This window comes from Homo sapiens, chromosome 6 (genome assembly GCF_000001405.40).
Source record: "Homo sapiens chromosome 6, GRCh38.p14 Primary Assembly".
Lineage (NCBI taxonomy): Eukaryota > Metazoa > Chordata > Mammalia > Primates > Hominidae > Homo > Homo sapiens.
In genome coordinates, this window is record NC_000006.12 from 19,669,298 (window position 1) to 19,692,223 (window position 22,926).

The window sequence follows — 22,926 nt, forward strand, 5'->3', positions numbered from 1 at the left end:
TGCCCCATTATTCTGGCTTTCATTTTTGCAGCCACAGAACTAGAGGAAGGAAGTTCTGGAATTTCTGGCAGAGGGAGCAAGACATATATACTCCCTCCAGTCACTGGCACTCTCACTGCCAAAATTCCTCCTTTGTTTACCACATTGCTCCCCTGCAGACTCAGGGCTCACACCCCTCACAGAGGGCACAGAGAGGTGAGTATCTTTCTAAGGACCTACTGTACTTCCTTCCAGATGAAGGTGCCAGCAAGCTTTCAGAATTTCTTTTTTAATCTTTTTATGCATCATAGAAAGCAAAGAGAAACTTGTTTGAGCCTTGAATCCTGGAGGGGAAGTAGACTAGCCTTCCACATACCTGGATGCAGTTCAATACTTGATTAGAAGACAATTGCTTGTTAGTCAGCTGCACAGGCTGAGATAGGTCACCAGCCCACAACCTAAGCCCTTCACCTCAGACAGACCACCCAAGTTCACCCACAGGGGCAGAGCAGGCCTAGCACCTCAGGCACCCTGCCACTGACATATATGCACCCCAGGAAAAGGAAATTGTATGTGTGTTCTGCCCACTTTTCTTAAGCATCATGAAAATCTCCGTGTACTGCCACCAAGTCTTTTGTGAGTGTGTGTGTATTTGTGTGTATGTGTCTATGTTGATATCTAACTATATGTAGATACACACACAAGGACAGAAACAGGGATATTCCCAACAGCAATACTGCATTACCAAGAGCTCATTTTCATCTGGCTGGCCAGCACTACAAAGTGGCTGTGTATTCTCGTGTAACACTCCTTGTCACCTACACCAATGTATGTGCACTGCCTAGAGAAGCCAGACTGAATCATGGCAGGGAAGACATCATCTCGAGTATCTTTAAGCTCATTATCAGCAAAGTTTATGTTAGCAGGGTTAATAGATGCTCTTCTGAGTCTATTTCTCTTCTCCCTACACTACCTACATTCCTATAACTCACCACTCTCCCTAACCCCTGTAAAACTTTACTTGCCCCATTGTTTGTGAGTAACTCAGTCTAGTACTTGGGTTTTCATACGGTTTTCAAATGTGGTTCCATTGATGTTGAGATGCATGAGAATCCTCCCAGATCTTGCCTGCTTGTGTCATCCACATTTTATCCTCCATATTTCAGCTAAGAAAGTTTCAAGTAGGTCCATCCGCATTTTAACTTCTGACTTTGAAAAATCTTGATGGAACCAGGATGAATTTCAGCCTGATGCTACTTGCAGATCACTTGTCTCCTCTCCACAGTAAGTAAGGTTTACCCATGACAAAGGCTATCATCTAAGAAAGCCACTTTGTGAGAGCAGCAGAAGGGCCACAGGAAGTTGCTTACTCTAGCTTTGTTTCATATTCTACTGGATGGCAAAAGTGTGGATAACTCTTGGCAGCCACTACTGGTTGGATGGCATTTTGCTTAGACTCCCCAGTGACCCTGAAGGACGTGCATACTTCTATTTTCTGAATAAGAGTTTCTACAAATCCCCAGAGATAGCTTTTCAATGTACAAATGTCCCATCAGTCTGCTCCTAAGACCACTTAAAGTCAGTATCTGCTCTAGTCCATATGACACTTAAGGAACAAGGGCCATTTTTTAATGCAACATGACTCACAAAATCTCTTCCTGGGTAGCTTATGAAAAGGAGGGAAACCAACTAGGGGAATATTGCTTTTATAAGTCAGCCTTAAAGAAAATAAGAAAAAACAAGTTGATTTTCAAAGCTATTCTTCTTGAACAAACTCAATATGTGGCTATTGAAATAACATATTTTGTAGTGTGCCCTTAAAATGACGTGAATAATACAGGGGAAACATTAAAACAGAAAGGCTTCCTTTACAGATGCTACTTAAGAAACTTAGACCCCGGAATTAAAATTTAAATATTTTAATGCCTTTTTACATTCCCTTTTGCCCCATCCCATTCTTCAAAAGAAGATGTTAGTATGAAACAGAACAAGATACCACTTAACATCAAAATGTCTAAACTTTCTAGAGGGGATATATTACTCTTTATTAGTTGATTTGATTGGGTAAATATTCCTCATGTGTATTTGATTTTTGTGCTGGCATTCATTACTCCATTGAGTAGGAACTATTTAATAGCTTCCAAATATTTAAAATAAGTTCAAACCAGCTACAAGTATAAAGATTGTATCTATAACCAAGGCCAGGCACTGTGGCTCACCCCTGTAATCCCAGCACTTTGGGAGGCCGAGCTGGATGGATCACTTGAGGTCAGAAGTTCGAGACCAGCCTGGCCAACATGGTGAAACACTATCTCTACTAAAAATACAAAAATTAGCCAGGTGTGATGGCACTCACTGTGGTCCCAGTTACTTGGGAGGCTGAGGCAGGAGAATTGCTTGAACTCAGGAGGCAAAGGCTGCAGCGAGCCAAGATTGTACCACTGCACTCCAGCCTGGGTGACAGAGCAAGACTCCATCTCAAAAAAACAATAATAATAATTAAAAAATAAAGATTGTATCTATAACCAAACAAAGCATACCTAATGGAAAATAAGTTACATCTCAGCCTACATAAAATATGGAGGAATATCAGATATATCAATAGTGGTATGATTACTTGCCCTCAATTTCGAGAACTATTATTTGCTTCCCCAAACCACACCCCAATCTCAACTCAAAAAAGCTTCAAATAAATTGATCCACACTGGGAGTACAAAATATAAAGTTTCAGATAATTTTTCTGCTCAGAGATTTAAAAGTGTAGGTCAATTTTGATCATCTTTAAAATTTTTTTAATTAAAAAAATTTTAGAATTTGACAAGAACCTAAATCTACTTTGTTGCAATTTGATAGCTGTGACAAGAAAAATTGACATCTTGGTTTACAAGGTAACATGTAGGAAACACTTATGAAGGGAAAAAAACTACGACAAAAGAAAGATCTATATGTAGAAAATATGGGCCTGGCACAGTGGATCACTCTGGTAATCCCAGCACTTTTGGAGGCCAAGATGGGTGTATCACTTAAGGCCTGGGGTTCGAGACCAGCCTGGCCAACATGGTGAAACCAAGTCTACTAAAAAGACAAAAATTAGCTGGGTGTGGCCTGTGATCCCAGCTACTCGCGAGGCTGAGGCAAGAGAATCGCCTAACCGGCAGGTGGAGGCTGCAGTGAGCCGGGATCGCACCACTGCATTCCAGCCTGGGCAACAGAGTGAGCCTCTGCCTCAACGAAAAGAAAGAAAGAAAATGTGTAAACAATAAATTTTAAAGCTGATAAAAATAATATATGGTGTTTTCCTCCCTAGGAATTGGTGAAAAATGTCTATACAAAATATCCCAGGGCTTCCCTTAATTTCTAAAGCAGACATTCTTGGGACTAAAACACAAGCCAATCAAGAAACCATATGTTGACAGTATAAGAATGTGAAGAAACTTTTCTGTTGGTAGAAAATTCCACCCCTATGGAAGACAAAAAAAAAAGTGTTTAAGTAGAGTTAAGGGGGAAAAAAAAGCCCCGGTGAGTTTAATAAGCACCATTATTGCTGAGAAATCTAAAAGGGTGATAATATGAATCACAAAAGAAGTACAATAGGGCAGCTCTTTGAAATTTGTTTTTCACACATCTAGTGTAAAAACAACGGCTCTTGCAAGAAAGGTCAATCCACCCACATGTTAATCTCCAATCAAACAGCACTTCGAGAATCCAAATGTGATTGCAAATCTCTCACATGCCAAGATGAAGGGGTTTTTCATTTCAATCTATCTATTACTACCAGCATTTTATATTCATTATGGTCAGGGGTTGAAGGGCACATTAGGTACTTGGCTGGTGCTGAATTCCAGCACTTCCCTCATTATACTAGAATAGAATTAACATATGAACACACACACAACTATGCTATGGTAACATGAAGTGTCTGACTTAACCTCACCCAAGTAATGAGATTCCGATGTAAGGCTTCCTCTCCAACCTTATTTCATCCCCCTGAAACCATTGCAGGGGGGCTCCTCAGCATGTCACAGCTCGCCGCATGTGCCCTAATAACAAGGTGCACCAGGAGGAGTGAAGAGCAAAGTTCAATTAGCAGAGTCTGTCCTTGCTTTTGTAAGTTTAGGTGAAACCCTGAAACTTCCTTTATCAACACATGTGATTGTGTCTTCATTTTCTTTTTTAACATAGTTCAGGTACTTTATTTGTAATTATCAAATATAATACATAAGGAGAAGTGCCTAAAACAAATGTACACCTTGATGAGCTACTGACATGCACAGCAACATAACTGGCACTCATGGCAAGACATACTATAAGAGAGTCCCAGACTTGCCACTTCTTCGATATAAATGCCTCCCTTCCTGCAGCTGTAACCAGTATCCCTGAAATATCTATTGGCTTCCTGGCTTTCTTTAAGATTTTATATATAATTCGCTGGGCGCCGTGGCTCACGCCTGTAATCCCAGCACTTTGGGAGGCTGAGGCGGGCAGATCACGAGGTCAGGAGATGGAGACCATTCTGGCTAACACGGTGAAACCTCGTCTCTACTAAATATACAAAAAAATTAGCCGGGCGTGGTGGCGGGCGCCTGTTGTGCCAGCTACTCAGGAGGCTGAGGCAGGAGAATGGCGTGAACCCGGAAAGGCGGAGCTAGCAGTGAGCCGAGATCGCGCCACTGCACTCCAACCTGGGCGACAGAGTGAGATTCAGTCTCAAAAGAAAAAAAAAAGATTTTATATATAATTATACATGCCTAAAATATGATTACATTATGTCTGTTTTATTGATGTGATTCCATTTGCATAGGATATATCATGTCTGGCCTTTTTTTGTTCAATATTATGCCCTTAAGGTAGATCCACATTTCTTGTGTATTTGTAATTTATTCATTTTTATAGTTGCATACTACTCCAAAGCATGAGTATGTCATAATTAACTCACGTATTTGATTGTTGATGGGCATTTTGGCTCATTTTAATATATACACATATGCATACACACATATATTTTGGTCCATTGCAACGAAAATCTTAAGGCTGGGCATGGTGGCTGACACCTGTAATCCCAACACTTTGGGAGGCCGAGGTGGGCAGATTACTTGCAGTCAGGAGGTCAAAGCCAGCCTGGACAACACGGTGAAACCCAGTCTCTACAAAAAATACAAAAATTATCCTGGCGTGGTGCTACATGCCTGTAGTCCCAGCTACTCGGGAGGCTGAGGCAGGAGATTTGCTTGAACTCTGGAGGCAGAGGTTGCAGTGAGCTGAGATCGCACCACTGCACTCCAGCCTGGGTGACAGAGCAAGACTCTACCTCAAAAGAAAAGGAAAAAAAAAAAAGAAAAGAAAAATGTTAGATATCTTCTGATACACATCAGCAGGAATTTATGGTGAACATATACAGAAGAGTGAAATTACTGACTCATAGGGTATATGTATGTTTAGCTTTACTAGACACAAGCAAAAATTTTCCTGCGTTTCCATCTCACAAGCAATGCATGAGGGTTCTTGTTGCTTTACCTTCCCAATAACACTGAGGGTTTTTTTCTTGTATGTTTGTTTTGTTTTGTTTGGAATTTTGTTGCTGGTCTGGCTGGTGACCCTTCCCTTTCTAAGCAGAATAGTTTGAGGGGAAGGTCTCCTTGGACTTTCTGAACCTCTTAAAACCTGTAATCATTGACCCATTCTAAAGGTCATAAACACTTCCTGTGCACTATTAAAGAAACTTAATTTAGAACCTACTGAGGTGATAAACTATATTAATTCCAAATGACCTGCTACAATTTATAATATCTGGAGAAAACCCAATATAAAAAAGACTAAATTGATCAAAGATCCAATAGACCTACAACTAAGATGACAGAAGAACAAAGCAGGACTTGCTGTGTTGTCTCTAAATCAAATAAATAAACATGGGATTGGAGAAAAAAACTCAGATCTTATTACTGTGTCAGAGAAAAATTAATCACAAAGAAATATAAATCTGAGAAAAGTAGTATGGGAATTAAATAAAGTAAAAACCTACTCTCCCTTAATTTCTATATCCTCCTACACATGCACGTACACTCACACACACACATTCACTCACCACCTCCAGCATTAATTAGTGAGTGACTTCTTTCCCTTGAAATGCTGACGAGTTCCAGCTGAATACACTAAAAAAAGAAAATTGAAAATCATTTGAATATGGGTTTATATTTTTCCAAGAATGTATTTCTGTCATGACTGAGTTCCTACATACAGAGCCTTATACAAAATGGGCATTTTCTTCACAAGTTTTCTGCTAAATAGGGATCTACATGAACACCCCAAGGATGTTTACTAAACAACTCTTTTGTTTTCTATTTAGAAAATTGACAGGAAATATAAATTTGTGTGGGAAAGCATAGAAAGGACACAGTCAATAGATGCCTCCATAACCCTTAGCAAAGTGTTTGATTCACTGGCTTTTAAAATCAGGACTATGTCTTTCCTTACCTATGTCTTTTTAGACAGCAGAATGAATCAAAATTTAATTTGTTTTGGAGATTATTTACTGTTGCATATCTCATCTGTGGCAAAATCCTACAATGCGTAGGTTAGATCAATAGTTAATTGGGAGAGAAAATATCTTGAATTGATCGCTTTTCTGACATGAACTCATTTACAAACAAAAGGAAGAGATTTTAGGAGGTATTTAATAGACGATGGACCAGTGGGTCACAATTATCGTATTTATCTGAAGAAACTTTAAAAAATGCAGATGTCCTAAAAATTCTGATTCAATGGCATTGGCATATCATATGTATTTTTAAGAATGAGAAAACTTGGGGCCAGGCACGGTGGCTCACACCTGTAATCCCAGCACTTTGGGAGGCCAAGGCGGGCGGATCACGAGGTCAGGAGATGGAGACCATCCTGGCTAACATGCTGAAAACCCGTCTCTACTAAAAAATAGAAAAAATTAGCCAGGCCTGGTGGTGGGCGCCTGTAGTCCCAGCTACTCGGGAGGCTGAGGCAGGAGAATGGCGTGAACCCAGGAGGGGAAGCTTTCAGTGACGATCGTACCACTGCACTCCAGCCTGGGCAACAGAGCGAGACTCCGTCTCAGAAAAAAGAAAAAATAAAATAAAATAAAAAATAAGAATGAGAAAACTTGTGACTGTAATAACTCATATACTCCTTGGTGAGTAGATGAGTTCATTAGGTCTTATGTATAGGGCACTGCCCGGTGGCAACAGGATACCTCTAGAGAGCTGCACTGTGGCCGGGCACAGTGGCTCATGCCTGTAATCCCAGCACATTGGGAGGCCAAGGTGGGTGAATCACCTGAGGTCAGGAGTTTGAGACCAGCCTGGCCAACATGGTGAAACCCCGCCTCTACTAAAAACACAAAATTCGCTGGGCGTGGTGGCACACGCCTGTAATCCTAGTTACTCGAGAGGCTGAGGCGGCAGAATTGCTTCAACCTGGGAGGTGAAGATTGCCGTGAGCCAAGATCACACCACTGCACTCCAGCCTGGCAGACGGGACGAGACTCTGCCTAAAAAAAAAAAGAAAAAAAAAAAAGAGTTGCACAGCCTCCCATCTCTAAGCAACTTTAAGTTCATTTTCTGATTCTTTGTCTACTCTGCGTGTGCATGTGTGATGAGACCGTTTTCCCTGTTTTCCTTGGTATGTTCCCAGCTATGCCCCGGGATGTTTGGGTTCTCAGGGACACCTGCTCCTGAGCTGGGCACCATGGCCTTGGCTCATGACCCAGCCTTCAAGACACAAGCAGCGGACGTACACCCTTAAGTACCCTGGTGGGGGACCCATCACACCACCCCCTGGTGGCTCTGAAGACTAGTTAATGTTAAAAACAATTGAAATAGGCCGGGCACGGTGGCTGACACCTGTAATCCCAGCACCTTGGGAGTCCAAGGCGGGCGGATCATGAGGTCAGGAGATGGAAACCATCCTGGCTAACACGGTGAAACCCCGTCTCTACTAAAAATACAAAAAATTAGCCAGGCGCGGTGGCGGGCGCCTGTAGTCCCAGCTACTCGGGAGGCTGAGGCAGGAGTATGGCGTGAACCCAGGAGGCGGAGCTTGCAGTGAGCCGAGATCGTGCCACTGCACTCCAGCCTGGACAACAGAGTGAGACTATGTCTCAAAAAAAAAAAAAAAGAAAGAAAGAAAGAAGAAGAAACTTGAAAAAAAAATCAAGTAACAAAAGACTGAATCCTTATATTTGTGACATTTTTAAAGATTATTAACATTAGTGAGTGTATCAAGTTTATGGTGTGGCATGCCCAGGCTGCTCCTTTTACCTCTTCCTTGCCGCCTTCCCACCCGTGGTAACAAAGAAATATGACAATGACTTTGTCTTTGCACCCTATTTCTTTTCACAAGGGCTACTTTTAGCTAAGCTCATTGTGCGTTTTTTCACAATATGTAAGACTTTATTTCTGAGAGGTCACTAACAACATTCCACTATGTTCTGGTTGATGATAACTTTGTTCCACATATTGCCATTGTGTCCAAACATTTGTACTTTTTCAAATATGAAAGAACCAAAGAACCAAATTGGTCAAAGGTTAGTTTTTTTAAAGCCACAATATTTTTGGTCTACTTTTTTATTTGAAGAAAAGTATTACCATGTGCTCTATTAACATTGCTCTATGGAACAATTCACAAAAGAAGCAATCAAAACTCCAGATAAAAACCTGTGTATTTTAGCAGCCCTGCAAATTATCAAAATTTCACTGGGATAATAAGTATTGTTACCAAATGAAGTGAAAGTGGAATCTAAGTTAACACTTTATTCAAAGCAACTGAGACTCAGTGACTCCCCAGACACACACTGGCAAGGTTCCAACCCCGACCAAAAATAATGATCCTCAATCCTGCCCATCCCAAACCCCGGTCTACCCCCTCAAAGATGGACAAGGAGATTTCCAATGCTAAAGCTATAACCATGAGGAAAAAACAAGCCACTAAATTCAAGCTATAAAGTAATTCACTACAATTTTGCATTTTTCCTTTTCAAATAATTAATATAGATATTTTGTCTTGTAGCCAAAATGGCATGCTTTCTATTAAAGCAGCACAGGCTAAAACTGTGGTTATTCTAAATAGAAGACTATAAGGACCAAAGCATCAAATGATTGCTGTATATCTGAACTAGAACTTTATGATTAATTCTATAAAAATAATAATTAATCTTCTGAATACCAAATGGCAGACACTACGCAGAATAAGGTAACACAAGAAACTCAGTGATAACAGATCATTAAGAAGCAATATGGTTTTCTTGAATAATAACAAAATGTTGTTTCCTTCCCTCTAAAAACAAAAAACTATTAGCTAAAGCATTACTTGAATGGCCTATTAAAGCCAAATAACTAATAAAAAACATGAGGTTATTATCCTCAATGATTAAAAATCGCCACCCATTATAAATATATCCAGTAATCTGAAATTGCTTAAAAGGAAATCAGATATACACACCATTTCCCCAGGATGAAAGCTGATTTCTTTTTTTTTATTGTCAAAGTGCTTTCTTTTTTAAAGAAATGTTTCTTTCCCACAATGAATAAATAAACACAAACATTCAGAAATCCTTACAAACAAGTGCAATGATACCCTGTCTTCATAATAAATAATGTCAATTTTAAAGAAACAAGACATTCAAGTTTACCAGGTAAAGTCATTCTCATCCCTTCTCTCTGTTCCACACATTAAATATAACCCAAGCCATTGTAAGTGAAGTGAGGTCAAAAAAACACTCAAGATAAAAATTTGATTCTTGGAATTAGAACATAGACTTGGCTTTCTCTAGTCAAGTAAGAGTGCTAAATGCATTGTCCTCCCTGTGGTCAGCAAATTGGAAAAACTTTAATTTTTTTAAAGGTTCATTTGTCATTCTTAAGGGTTGTCTCTTTAATATAGTACTTGAAAACAAACTTGTCGCACTTTCTTATACTCCTAAAACAATAATAATGTGCTTAAAAAATGATCTTCATATTATTAGAAAATGTTTTTGTTTTTATAACTGTGATTATATAAACCAGTACCTGAAAGGTCATTATTTTTTCTAACCCATATAACATAACCAAATATAAGCCTTAGTATTAGCTTTTTACTGTGTAATTATTTTCTTAAAAAAAAAAACTTTGTGTGAGAGTATGGTAGAACAAAATATAGTAAGAAAATATTTCAGGTATAGAACTAACATATTTTAAATATTTAAATATATAACTGAACTCTGTGTGTGTGTGTGTGTGTGTGTGTGTGTGTGTGCGCGCGCATGTGGTGGATAGTCTCAAAGGCTGAAAACATCCAGAAATCTTGAGTCTAGAATTAACCAAGCACTGGAATTAATAGTGGCCTTAGGACCTTCCGCCAAACCACGATGTCAGGTAACTTCAGTTTTAATGGTCTGTTTTTTCACAGAGGTCAGAAGACCAAGCCTACAGTCATTCCCTGTGAACAAGTACAGTGAATTAAGGAAACACACTCACATACACACACACGGTATATGTGATATAGATATAGAACTTTGCCTATCTCTTCCTTGACTTGGGATAGAGGGGGAAAGTCTCCATTAAGATTTCAATCATGTAGCATTGGGACTACAATTCATACTATTTAACCCTAAAACTCTAAGCTGATAATTATTTTTAAATGGTCCTTCATTGGTAGTGGTTCCTAGAACTGAGTAAAACCAAAGGTGAATCTCAATTTAAAGGAAACACTTTCAACTCAGGCCTAGAAGAATCCTACAATCAAGAGTTAAATTCTCACAGCTAAAAAGAAAACAGTGTATTTGTTATTAGCTCGAGCTGGGAGGGATAATAAATAACAAATTAGGTCCACAAACCTACAGATACTGGAATAATCAGATAAATAATAAAAAGTAAATTAAATATATTGAATATGTTTAAATAAGAGGGCATTTAAATTCTTTCAGAAGAAGAGGAGACTAAATGAGGTATATTTGAAATATAACCACATAGATTATATAGAAATGAAATATATAATAATTGAAATCAAAACTTTAATAAACTAGTTAAACATCTGGTAAGACAAAGCTGAAGACAAAATCAATGCACTGGAAAGTAGATCTGGGGAAATTACACAATATGAAGTCCAGAAGGATAAAGGGAAAAAATATATGAAATGAAGGGTTAAAAAAAAAAAAGGTGGGCCATAAATAGAGGTTATCTAATATTCATCAACTGACATGCATAAAAGAAATAACAGAAGAATGCGGGAGAGAATATTCAAAGAAATTTGCTAAAGTTTGTTTTAGAATTAAGAAAAAATGCAAGTTTTCAGATTCCCAATATACCCTAAGTAGAATAAATAAATAGAAATCTATCTCTGGACACATTGAAAAACCTGCAGAGCAACAAAGACAATAAAAAGACCTTAAAAGAAGTCAGAGGTTAAAAACAAATTTTTTAAAAAATAATTAGGCAGCTGACTTTTCAACAGTAATAACAGAAGCCAGAAAAGAGCAAAATTATATCAAAAAGTGCTACTGAAAAATGTCAATTTTATAGACAGTAAAATTATGGTGTAGGAATATGGGCACAATACAGGCAACAAATAAGACTTTGAGTCTGTACTATTAACAGAGGCTAAATAAAGACATGCATATGTGATTTAATTTAGTAAAAATAAAAATGAGGAAAAAAGTAAAGCCTAAGAGACAAGAAAGAATGGTGAGAAACTCAAGAAAAGAAACTAGTGAACATGGGTTAATCTTTAATAAACAACCCTGAATATATAAAACAATATCTTTAGCCAAGTGTGGTGGTGCACACCTGTAGTCCCAGCTACCCAGGCGGCCTGCTGAGGTGGGAGGATAGCTTCAGGCCAGGAGGTCGAGGCTACAGTGAGCCATGTTTGTCAAATAAGAAAGCAGAAAAGTAATGGGAATTCAACTATTCTAAAGTCACTACATTGTTGGGCAAGTGAAGAATTAGTTTAAGATTATAAAATTAAAAATTCAGAGTAAGGATTAAAGTCAAAACAAATACTAGAGTAAAAATAGAATAGAGGATTTACAGTAACACATTTGAAATAAATCCAAATGTATGACTAATCACAGTAAACTTAAATGGACTACACATGTTAAAAGTCAAGGTGTTTCAGGCTAGATTTTTAAAAATTCAGCCATCAAATATATTTAATATATCTGAATATATGTATTTTAATACATGTATTTTAATTCTAGTATATCTGAATATATGTATATTCAGATATATTAAAATATATATCACATATAACATATTCAGATATATTAAAATTCAGATATACTGATTCAGTTTACATTAGACAACATAAAATATAAAACTAATGTCAGAAATGATATAATTTATGACAAAAAATAATTCTAGAGATAAAGAGAACACAATAGTGTAAAAGGTTAAATTCACCAGAAAGATATGATAATTTAAGTTTGTATATGCTCAAAATATAATTTCAATATGAAAATTGAATTTCATGAAATTCATGAAATTTGATGAAATTTGAGAGAACTACAAAGGTAAACTTACAAATCTGTTTTCATAGTAAGATTTTAAAACATCTTTCTCATTAAGAAATAAGCAAAGATAGCCAGGCATGGTGGCTCATGCCTCTAGTCCCACCACTTTGGGAGGCCAAGGTGGGAGGATCACTTGAGGCCAGGAGTTTGAGACCAGCCTGGCCAACATGGTGAAACCCTGTCTCTACTGAAAATACAAAAATTAGCCAGGCATGGTGGCATGCACCTGTGGTCCCAGCTACTTGGGAGGCTGAGGCATCAGAATTGCTTTAACCCAGGAGGAAGAGGTTGCAGAGAACTGAGATAATGCCACTGTACTCCAGTCTGGGTGACAGAGCAAGACTCTGTCTCAAAAAAAAAAAAAAAAAAAGAAAGAAAGAAAGAAAGAAAAAGAAAAAAAGAAAAAAGAAAAGAAAAAGAAATAAGTAGGAACACAGAACACGATTTGTATCCTCAATATTATAAACTATATTAAATTATTTCTAATAATTGGAAAAAACACATTTTCTTAAACCACATGTAGATCATTTGCAAATTATAAAATGTTCTTTTATGAAAATATAATAATTACAAAAATTTATAGTCACAGAAAACTTATTAAATGCTCATACACTTGAAAAATAAAAATATACTTGTAAGTAACTCAGTGATGTCGGTAATAAAATATTTAGAGAAAAAATTAATGCATTCAATGCCTACATCATGAGTAAGAAAAGACTGAAAAATACTGAACTAAGGCAAAAACTTAGAAATTAAAAAAATAGAATGGCCCCAAATAAAGTAAGTGGAAAATAAAAAAGAATTAAAACATACAATAGGGGATCAAAAATGCAAAGCTGGCCCTTTCAAAAAGACTATTAAATTCACAAACCTCTGCCAAGTTTGATTAATAGGGACATCATACAAATAAACAATATTGTAATGAAATGGGTATATAACTACAGGGGCTCCAACAATTAAAAAAATAGTAAAAGAATATTATCAAGTTTATTCTACCAATAAAGTTATAAATTCTTTAAAAAATATATTTTACTTAGCTTGCAAGATGGACTCAAGAAGAAATAGACCACATGAATAGTTTTAAAACTATTAAAGGAAAAATCTTTTTAAGGTTTGAAGCCTGATTTTATTAGGCAGCTGTGTGATGTTGGTTTAGTTATAAACTTTTATACATAAACAGGGATGGTATTAAGTAACTCACAAGTACATTTCAGCTCAAATGTAGGTAATTTATGGAGAAAGTACTTTGTGAAATGTTACTGGTAATATAGTTATAGTTATATGGGCAATAAAAGCAACATGACCTCTGCATTGGGGTAGATTAAGTAACAAGCATGATTCTCCCCTCACTTCCCCTCCACAAATTCAGACACAAGTAACATTAGAGGCAACTTTTAATACATCTAAGGCCTTTGGGATGGATTGGGCATAGGAGGAAACTAGGGGACTACTGGTCTTTTGGGTAGATGTTGGTCTCTTCAGCCTTTAGTAGAATTAGATGGGGTAGAGTATTACGATTGTATCTCATTCTTTTTATTTTTCCTTTTCTCTTTTTTTTTGACAACTTTTTTCGTTTTTTGACAACTAAAAATTGCATATATTTATCGTGTACAACATTATGCTTTGAAATCTGTATACATTATGGAATGATTAAATCAAGCTAATTAACAAACGCATTACCTCATATACTTATTTTTTTGTGTGGTGAGAACACTTAAACTATACTCTCAGCAATTTTCAAGAATACAGTTTTCGAGAATGCATTGTTATTAACTATAGTCACCATGTTTCACGATAGATCTTTTGAACTTATTCCTCCTGTTTAACTGAAACTTGACACCCTTTGACTAACATTTACCCAGCCCACCCAGCCCCTGACAACCCGCATTCTGCTCTCGAATTCTGTGAGTTTAACTTTTTTAGATTCCACATATAAGCGAGATCACATGATATTTTGCCTTTCTTTGCCTAGCTTATTTCACATAACATAACATCCTCCAGTTTCACCCATGTTGTCGCAAATGATAGAATTTGGGGTTTTTTTGTAAGGCTGAATAGTGTCCTATTGTGTGTATATACCACATTTTCTTTATTCTCCCATTGAAGGACCCTTAGATCGATTCCATCTCTTGGCTATTGTGAATAATGCTGCAGTGAACATGGGAGTGCAAATATCTCTACAACGTACTGATTTTATTTCCTTTGGAATATATCCTGCAGTGGGATTGCCAGATCATATGATAGTCCCATTTTAATTTTAGGAAGAAACAGAAGAAAGTAGAATGGTAGTTGCCAGAGGGACTGGAGGAACAGGAAAAATGGGGAGTTGTTTAATAGGTATAGAATTTCAGTTTTGCAAGATGAAAAAGTTCTGGAGATGGGTTGCACAACAAAGTGGACATATTTAACACTACTGAGAGTACACTTAGAAATGGTTAAGATGGTAAATTTTATTGTGTGCTTTTTTGCTGCTACAATACAAAATTTAAAATTCCATTTTAATTTCTTGAAAAATGTAAATTTCCTTCAACTTCAGAAAATTTATTAATATAATTTACCATATTAAAAATTATAGGACAAATATGATTAGAGATAGGGAAAAAAGCGTTTATTAAAATCAATGTTCATGCTTGAGTTTTAAACAGCCTAAACTTGAGTTTGAGACCAGCCTGGCCAACATGGTGAAACCCTGTCTCTACTAATAATACAAATATGAGCCAGCGTGGTGGCAGGTGCCCTGTAATCCCAGCTACTTGAGAGGCTGAGGCAAGAATCACTTGAACCCGGGAGGCGGAAGTTTCAGTGAGCCAAGATCGTGCCACTGCACTCCGGCCTGGGCAACAGAGCAAGATTCTGTCTCAAAAAAAAAAACACAGCCTAAGCTCTTCGTCAAAACTTATCTTCATATAGTTACACATACATACGTACTTTACAACAAACATCATACTTAATGGTAAAACATTAAAAGAACTCCTTTTTTGTTGTTGTTTTTTGAGAAGGAGTCTTGCTCGCTGCCCAGACTGGAGTGCAGTGGCGCAATCTCGGTTCACTGCAACCTCTGCCTTCCGGGTTCAAGTGATTCTCCTGCCTCAGCCTCCCAAGTAGGTGGGATTACAGGCAGCCGCCACCACGCCCAGCTAATTTTTGTATTTTTAGTAGAGACGGGGTTTCGCCATGTTGGCCAGGTTGGTCTCGAACTCCTGACCTCCGGTGATCCGCCCGCCTCGGCCTCCCGAAGTGCTGGGATTACAGGCGTGAGCCACCGCGCCCGGCCCAAAGAACTCCTTTTAAAATCTTGGAAAGACATATGCTATTACCACTTTTATATTAACTCTATTCTGAAGGTCCTAATACCAAAAAAAAAAAAAAAAAAAAAAAAAAGATACGGTGGATGTAGGAGACAAACAGGAAGCAGCAGAAGGGAAGAAGAAAAGAAGGAAATAAGAAAAGAGAGGCAGGGAAGGAGGAAGGCATAAAAAAAGAAAAAAGAAAAGTTAAAGTCATAAGGAAAGGAAATAATAAAATTATTATTTTTCTTACATGATATTATTTTTCTTACAAGATGCTCTTCAAAAAATAATCCGTCAATCTATAGATAAACTATCAAATTTAGTAAGACAATTCAATAAAGTTGCTAGATACAGTTGATACATAAAAGTCAATCGCATTACCATAGAAGAGCAATACATAGAGCATTTAATGGATTTAAAATATCACATTTCTAATGCCATCAAAATATTATGTATCCAGAACAAAACCCATGTGAGACCTTTAAAGAGAAAATTATCAACTTTTGTTTAAAGAAAGTATAAATAAATGGAGAGATTTATCATATTCATGGATTAGAAAATCCAACATTGTGATATCAAAGAATATGTCAACTCCTCCAATTGAACTGCAGATCCATGGCAATTTCAACCAAAACTCAGAAAGGACTTTATATGGAATCTATGAAGCTGATTCTAAAATGTACGTGAAAGAGCAAAGGATCAAGAATAGTCAAGACGCTCATGAAGAAGCGTCAAGTAAGAGTTCATCGTCTCCCCGATGTGAACACAAACAAACCATTCTTAATTAAGATGGTGTAGAATTAGGACATATATAGTGAAATACACTAACAGAACACAACTGAGGGCCATGAGATAGACCCAGGTATATATGCAAATCTAACATATGATAGAAGTAACATCATACACCAACAGGAAAGCAAGGGCCACTTAATAAATAATGCTTAATAAAACATGGATGACCAGTTACCCCTTTAGAAAAAGTGCAGTTGGACCTCCTCCTCACATCATAGGCAAAAAAACAGTTTCAGACTGATTGAGGGCTTAACACTTTTTAAAAAAGAATGTGATGTCTTTTTGATAGAAGGATATCTTAAATAAGACCAAAAAAAAGTAAAATCATAAAAAAGTGGTTGATGTCATTGAAACCTAAGAACCTCAGTTTATCAAAAGATATCTTAAGAAGAATGAAAATCCCAGCCACAAGAGTAATAAAGATTATTTGTAATGTATATCATCATCTGAGGAGTGTGAGATTATTCCTAATAATCAGTAAAAAAATAGCTCAGTAGAAGGGGAGCAAACTATATGGAAACACCAAAACATGAATGACCAATAAACATGAAAAATGATCAACCTCATTAATAATCAAGGCAAGGAAAATAAAAAACAAAATGAGGTAAAATTGTACCACCCTCAGGTTGACAAAATTTAAAATTCTGACAACACAATGTGTTAGGAAGAATATAGAGTAACTGGAACTCGTATACACTGTGGTAGGAGTGTTTTCTTTTTAGAAAATAATTTTGCCATTATCGTGCAAAGCTGAGGAAGTACGTGCCAATTTAATTCTACTGTGCAAACACATGAAATCAGTTTAGGGGTTACTATTTTGTTAATAAAAATTATAGACTAGACAGAATAGAAATTAATAATGCATCACAAAGGCAAGATGCCCTAGGGATGATGTGGCACCTGTGTGCCAAGAAACAAGTATAATAATGATTGTAGCAGCATTTTTTATAATAGCAAAATAAATGGAAACAACCCAAATGTCCACCAGCAGTAGAACTGGTAAACAAAACAGTTATACAAAGTAAATAAATTCAAGGCTTACTGTTCTTATCAGTAAGGATATGGAATACCCTGTTCCAGAAGTTTCTGCTCTTGTTAATTCTCCCTTTTCCTCTGGAGAATAAAAATCTGTTATTTCTGGATATCTGCCCTCTACACTGTATTTACATAAAATTGACCTATTGAATTCAATCCATGGTTTTATTTCAGAACTAGAAAATACCCAAGATCCTTATTTATTCTATCACTTTCCCGTTTCTTCCCTCTAATTTCCCACTTCCATTTCCTCCCTCACCTCAAAATACACACACATACTCACACACACATTTCTTGACATCCTCGTAATTTGACCTCTAAAAACCTCAGGTCTTTCAAAATACCTGTGGAAAAAATACTATCACCGTCTCTCTGCAGTGGTAGTTTAATGCCCTTAAAACCTTCACTCCTAGCTCTACCTTTAGGAACAAGAAAACAATTTTTCAATACCTGAACAAGAGCAGAGGATGATTAAGGTACAAATTTTATAGGCTAGTTTATTTTATTTCTAATTATATTCTTAGTAAATGATGTTAATATTTAATAGGAATGACTTTGACACTCAGTGCTTTGCCCAGTAAAACCAGAGCCCTTAGCATTTTATTGGCACTAAAGCAGTCAGCTGTGACACAGGATAATGGCAAGGGTAAAGAAGATCTGCTCCGTCCCTAAATTAAATGTCTCCTCAATGACTCGAATGTTCAGGTAGAAATAGCAGTTGCTCAAAGAAAATGACTCCTTTACACTGAAAAACAATCAACAGAGCGTTTCCCACAAATCCAAGGAGACAGTAACACATAGAGAGGAGATCACAATAATTTTAATGGGTGTTGACAATATTATCATAATAGAGTTGCCTGTTTAAACCAATGCTGACTCTACTGCATGTGTATGTACAATGTGGTTTAAGTAAACCGAAGCAGATGCAATACATATAATTCAGAAAGAACTGGAAGGATTGTCTACTCCTCTTGCTGTCAATGAGAAAAGGGTGAAACAAATGACTTACTGGACACTGTATATTTCAACAGCATTGCCTCTCATGTTCAACACAAAAATCACAAAGGCAGTCATTGGTGAGGATCCCTTGTCTGCTAGATCACTATTCTCCAGCATGTTATGATACCCATTAAACGAAAGATAAATTATAGGTGTTTGTTTATTTTACAATGATTTACATAAGACTTCTCATGCTATATATTTCCTTAGTGCACATAAAAATATGACTTGAGTGAAACATCTCCTACAATTTTACTACTTGCCTCTCAACTAGCCTGACATGTGTCCATGGCCAAGTCGCTAGGTTTTTTGTTTGTTTTGTTTTGTTTTTGTTGTTGTTTTGGGTTTTTTTGGTTTTGTTTTTGAGACAGAGTTTTGCTCTTGTTGCCCAGGCTGGAGTGCAATGGCACGATCTAGGCTCACCACAACCTCCGCTTCCCAGGTTCAAGCGACTCTCCTGCCTCAGCCTCCTGAGTAGCTGGGATTACAGGCATGCGCCACCATGCCTGGCTAATTTTTTGTATTTTTAGTATAGACGGGGTTTCTCCATGTTGGTCAGGCTGGTCTTGAACTCCTGACCTCAGGTGATCCGCCTGCCTGGGCCTCCTAAAGTGCTGGGATTACAGGCATGAGCTACCGGGCCGGCGGTAAAGTAGGCTTTATACAGAAGATACATTTCATCCATTTAGCTTAGTAGCATGTAAACAGACAGTAACTTAATGCCAAGCTACTTCATGAGGCATCATCATCAAAATTATTGTTTTCATGTATCTATTTCTGTGTGGCTCTATACTAAGCATTATGAAAAGTCGGAATGAAAATATCTAGCCCTTTCAGGATATACAATTTAAAACAAAATGGGAAAAATCAGCATACTCATATAGACACTAAGCAGAAGCAGAAGATTAGTATGTTTTATTATATTAAATGGTTAGATGAATGAAAAGGAGTTGTAAGATTTCACTTCAGGATGGTTAGGGTCTCACATGAAAATATCAGCCTCTCAGGCTGGGTGCGGTGGCTCACGCCTATAATCCCAGTACTTTGGGAGGCCGAGGCGGGCGGATCCTGAGGTCGGGAGATCAAGACCATCCTGGCTAACACAGTGAAACCCTGTCTCTACTAAAAAAATACAAAAAATTAGCTGGGCGTGGTGGCGGGCACCTGTAGTCCCAGCTACTCGGGAGGCTGAGGCAGGAGAATGTCGTGAACCCGGAAGGCGGAGCTTGCAGTGAGCTGAAATTGTGCCACTGCACTCCAGCCTGGGTGACAGAGCAAGACTCCGTCTCAAAAAAGAAAAAAAAGAAAGAAAAAGAAAATATCAACCTCTCTGTCCTGAAGGCTTATTTGAGGAGTTGGGTTTGAAGAGTTGCCTTAATCATTAATCAGAGGAGCTTGTCAAGGGTTTCAGAGAAAAGGAACACTCCAGAAGAGACCAAAGCATAGAGTAACTGATAACAGGGGCATGATTACTAAGAGAGCCAAGGGGAATCTTCAGTGCAGTGGATCTCGACGTAGTTCAAGATCAGTTAAGTATATTTCATTTATATACCACCCCCCTTTGTGAATCCATTCATTCGGCCAGGTAGACCTAGTGTTTTCTAATGCTTATCTATTACTCCAGAAGACTCTATTTGCTTTGAGTTCCTAAATACATCAAGTCAGCAATCTCTAAAAACCTATATTAGAAAAATATTTACATTTAAGAATAGTCCCTCAATTTCACTTAATTTCTAGTGTGGATAGTTCAATCAACACTGATTGAGCCATCTACACTAGGAAAATTTTGGCATCTTGTGTTCTCTCGAAATTATATAGTTCTTTGATTCTTTTAGGCTAGAAGTTCTTCAAGTGATTCTGCGGCACATTGAAGTTGAAAACCACTGCTTTATACCTGTCAGGCAATGGAGCATGCACACTTACCCAGGCTCTCTTTGTTAGAACAGGCATTTCGGCTCAACTGTACAAATACTGCAAGAAAAAAAAACGGTTTTATGGCTGAATATTAACATTGAAAATGGCATATTTCTGTTGGTCATAAATACTCTCTCAAATGGGAAAACATTGTTAAATACTATGCACTTATAAACTTTCAGAGTAGTCAGCATTGTAAATAGTGGTGTTTTATAAACTATTTTCCAATACATTGCCAATGAAGACAATAGACAATAAGCTCCCAAGGGTCTTCATTCCCCTCCTGGGTCTCCCAGTGATAAGGACGCTAATAGGCTGAGATCTCACAGAATTTCAATAAGAGTGTCAGAGGTATTTGAACCAAAGCAACTCCATCTTGAATAGGGGTTGGGTAAAAAAAGACCGAGATCCCACTGGGCTGTATTCCCAGGTGGTATTACTCACAAGATGAGATGGGAGGTCGGCACAAGATACAGGTCATAAAGACCTTGCTGATAAAACAGCATGCGGTAAAAGAAGCTACCAAATCCCACCAAAGTCAAGATGGCAAAGAAAGTGACCTCTGGTTGTCCTCACTGCTCATTATATGCTAATTATAATGCATTAGCATGCTAAAAGACACACCCAACAGCATCATGACAGTTTACAGATGCCATGGCAACATCAGGAAGCTACCCTATATGGTCTAAAAGGGGGAGGAAACCTCAGTTCCGGGAACTGTCCACCCCTTTCCCAGAAGACTCATGAAGAATACACCCCTTGTTTAACATATAACCAAGAAATAACTGTTAAGTATTATCCGTGGAGCAGCCCAAGCTGCTGCTCTGTCTGTGGAGTTGCCATTCTTTATTCCTTTGCTTTCTTAACAGATTTGCTTTCAATAAACTTGCTTTCTTAATAAACTTGCCTGGAATACTTTCTTGTGTGAGATCCAAGAGCCTTCTCTTGGGATCTGGATTGGGCCCCTTTCTGATAACAAGAATTCACTTTTCTGTGTATGACAGGTGAGAGGATGGCCCCCGGGAAGAAAGTTTGGAAAAAGTCTCCTGGACCGGAAGCGGAAGGGAGGGAGGGAGAGAGGGAAAGAGGAAGTGGGGAAAAAAGACCTGAGATGTAGATTCTTGACCACAGGCAAGTCCTTCATGGTCCTTTTCCTGGCAGATCTTAGACATCTCATGTGCTTTGCCCAGTTCTCACTGTTGATGCCTAGAAATTAATGGTTTCATAGTGGGATAATGCCATTCCTCTGAAGTCTAGGTCTGATACCCATCAGCAGTATTTAAAACCACACAACCCTTTTTGAAATACCAAAATAGCTAAGCCGAATAAAAAATATAAACTTTGACAGGCAAACTAAGATGCTTTCATGCATTTTATGCTAAAACCGTACCAACTCTCCGTAAAACTCTTTACCTGCGTTCGCCCCATCCCCTGGTTCGCATTGTTCTCAGTAATGAAGACCTCCTTGCCTATCACTAACACCAATTAGCTTACACCAAACTTCAGGACGCCAAGGAAAAGGAAAAATCACTCTTCCAGCAGCGGTCATTTAAGAAAAAAAAAAATTGATAATAATGTGGAACTCCCTCCAAAATTAGCCTACACCGTGATATAAATTGGTTTTCTTTGTGATCTAAAATTGACTCGCAGTTGACTAGTTAGAAAATAGTTGCTGAAAAGCCGGGGCCTTGGAGCTTTCGGATCCTGCCCGCCTTTCATCATGTAAACAAACGCATCAGATTTAAAGCTTTCCCATAATTGTTATGCTAACCTTGGAGCGCAACCTCTCCATTTGCATTTGAAGGAGCTAAATATTAGGCAGGAAAGAAAGTGCTCTTTTTGAAAGCCTGAGAAAATGTCCCCGCTCGGGGCTGCTCCGCCATCTGGGCCGCGGGCTGGGCGCGCGGCTCCCGCCCCCAGCTCCTTGGCAGAGGCGCCGGAGGAAGGGGCGCCGCGAAGGGCCGTCATCTTGTTGGAAAAGAATGCAGAAATGCCCCCCTAAGGCTGAATGAGCACCACTTCCACACTCAGGGCGGGGGAGGCCGGGGGACGTGGGAGCGGCGCGCCAGGAGCGAGGCGTCCCTGGTGACAGCGCGTCCCGAGGGCTCTCCCTTTTCCCAGAGCGCATACCAAAGGCAGACTCCTTTGCAGGCTCCACGAGCCCCATTCGCGGTGGAAAGGGGCGTTCCAGACTGCAGGGTGAGGGGCTCCGGTGTGTGTGTGGTGTGTGTGGTGTGTGTGTGTACGCGCGCGCACGCCCTTAAGGAAAAATCCATCTTTTATAAGTGCTGTGGCCCACTTTTAACTGGATCTCGTGGAGTACTCAGATACAGCCGGTATAGTGAAGGCTAATAGCATCAGCACACTTTCGCGCATTAATCTTGGAGTAATTAAAAATAAAAACAG

General features: G+C 38.3%; 1 annotated feature.

Annotated features, from left to right (window-relative positions):
- Positions 22,131–22,634: an enhancer, noted in NCBI's record as "OCT4-NANOG-H3K27ac hESC enhancer chr6:19691659-19692162 (GRCh37/hg19 assembly coordinates)". NCBI's record gives its function as "activates a minimal SCP1, AML or CMV promoter by ChIP-STARR-seq in naive and primed H9 embryonic stem cells {active_cell/tissue: H9 hESC(naive and primed)}" and the evidence as "EXISTENCE:reporter gene assay evidence [ECO:0000049][PMID:30033119]".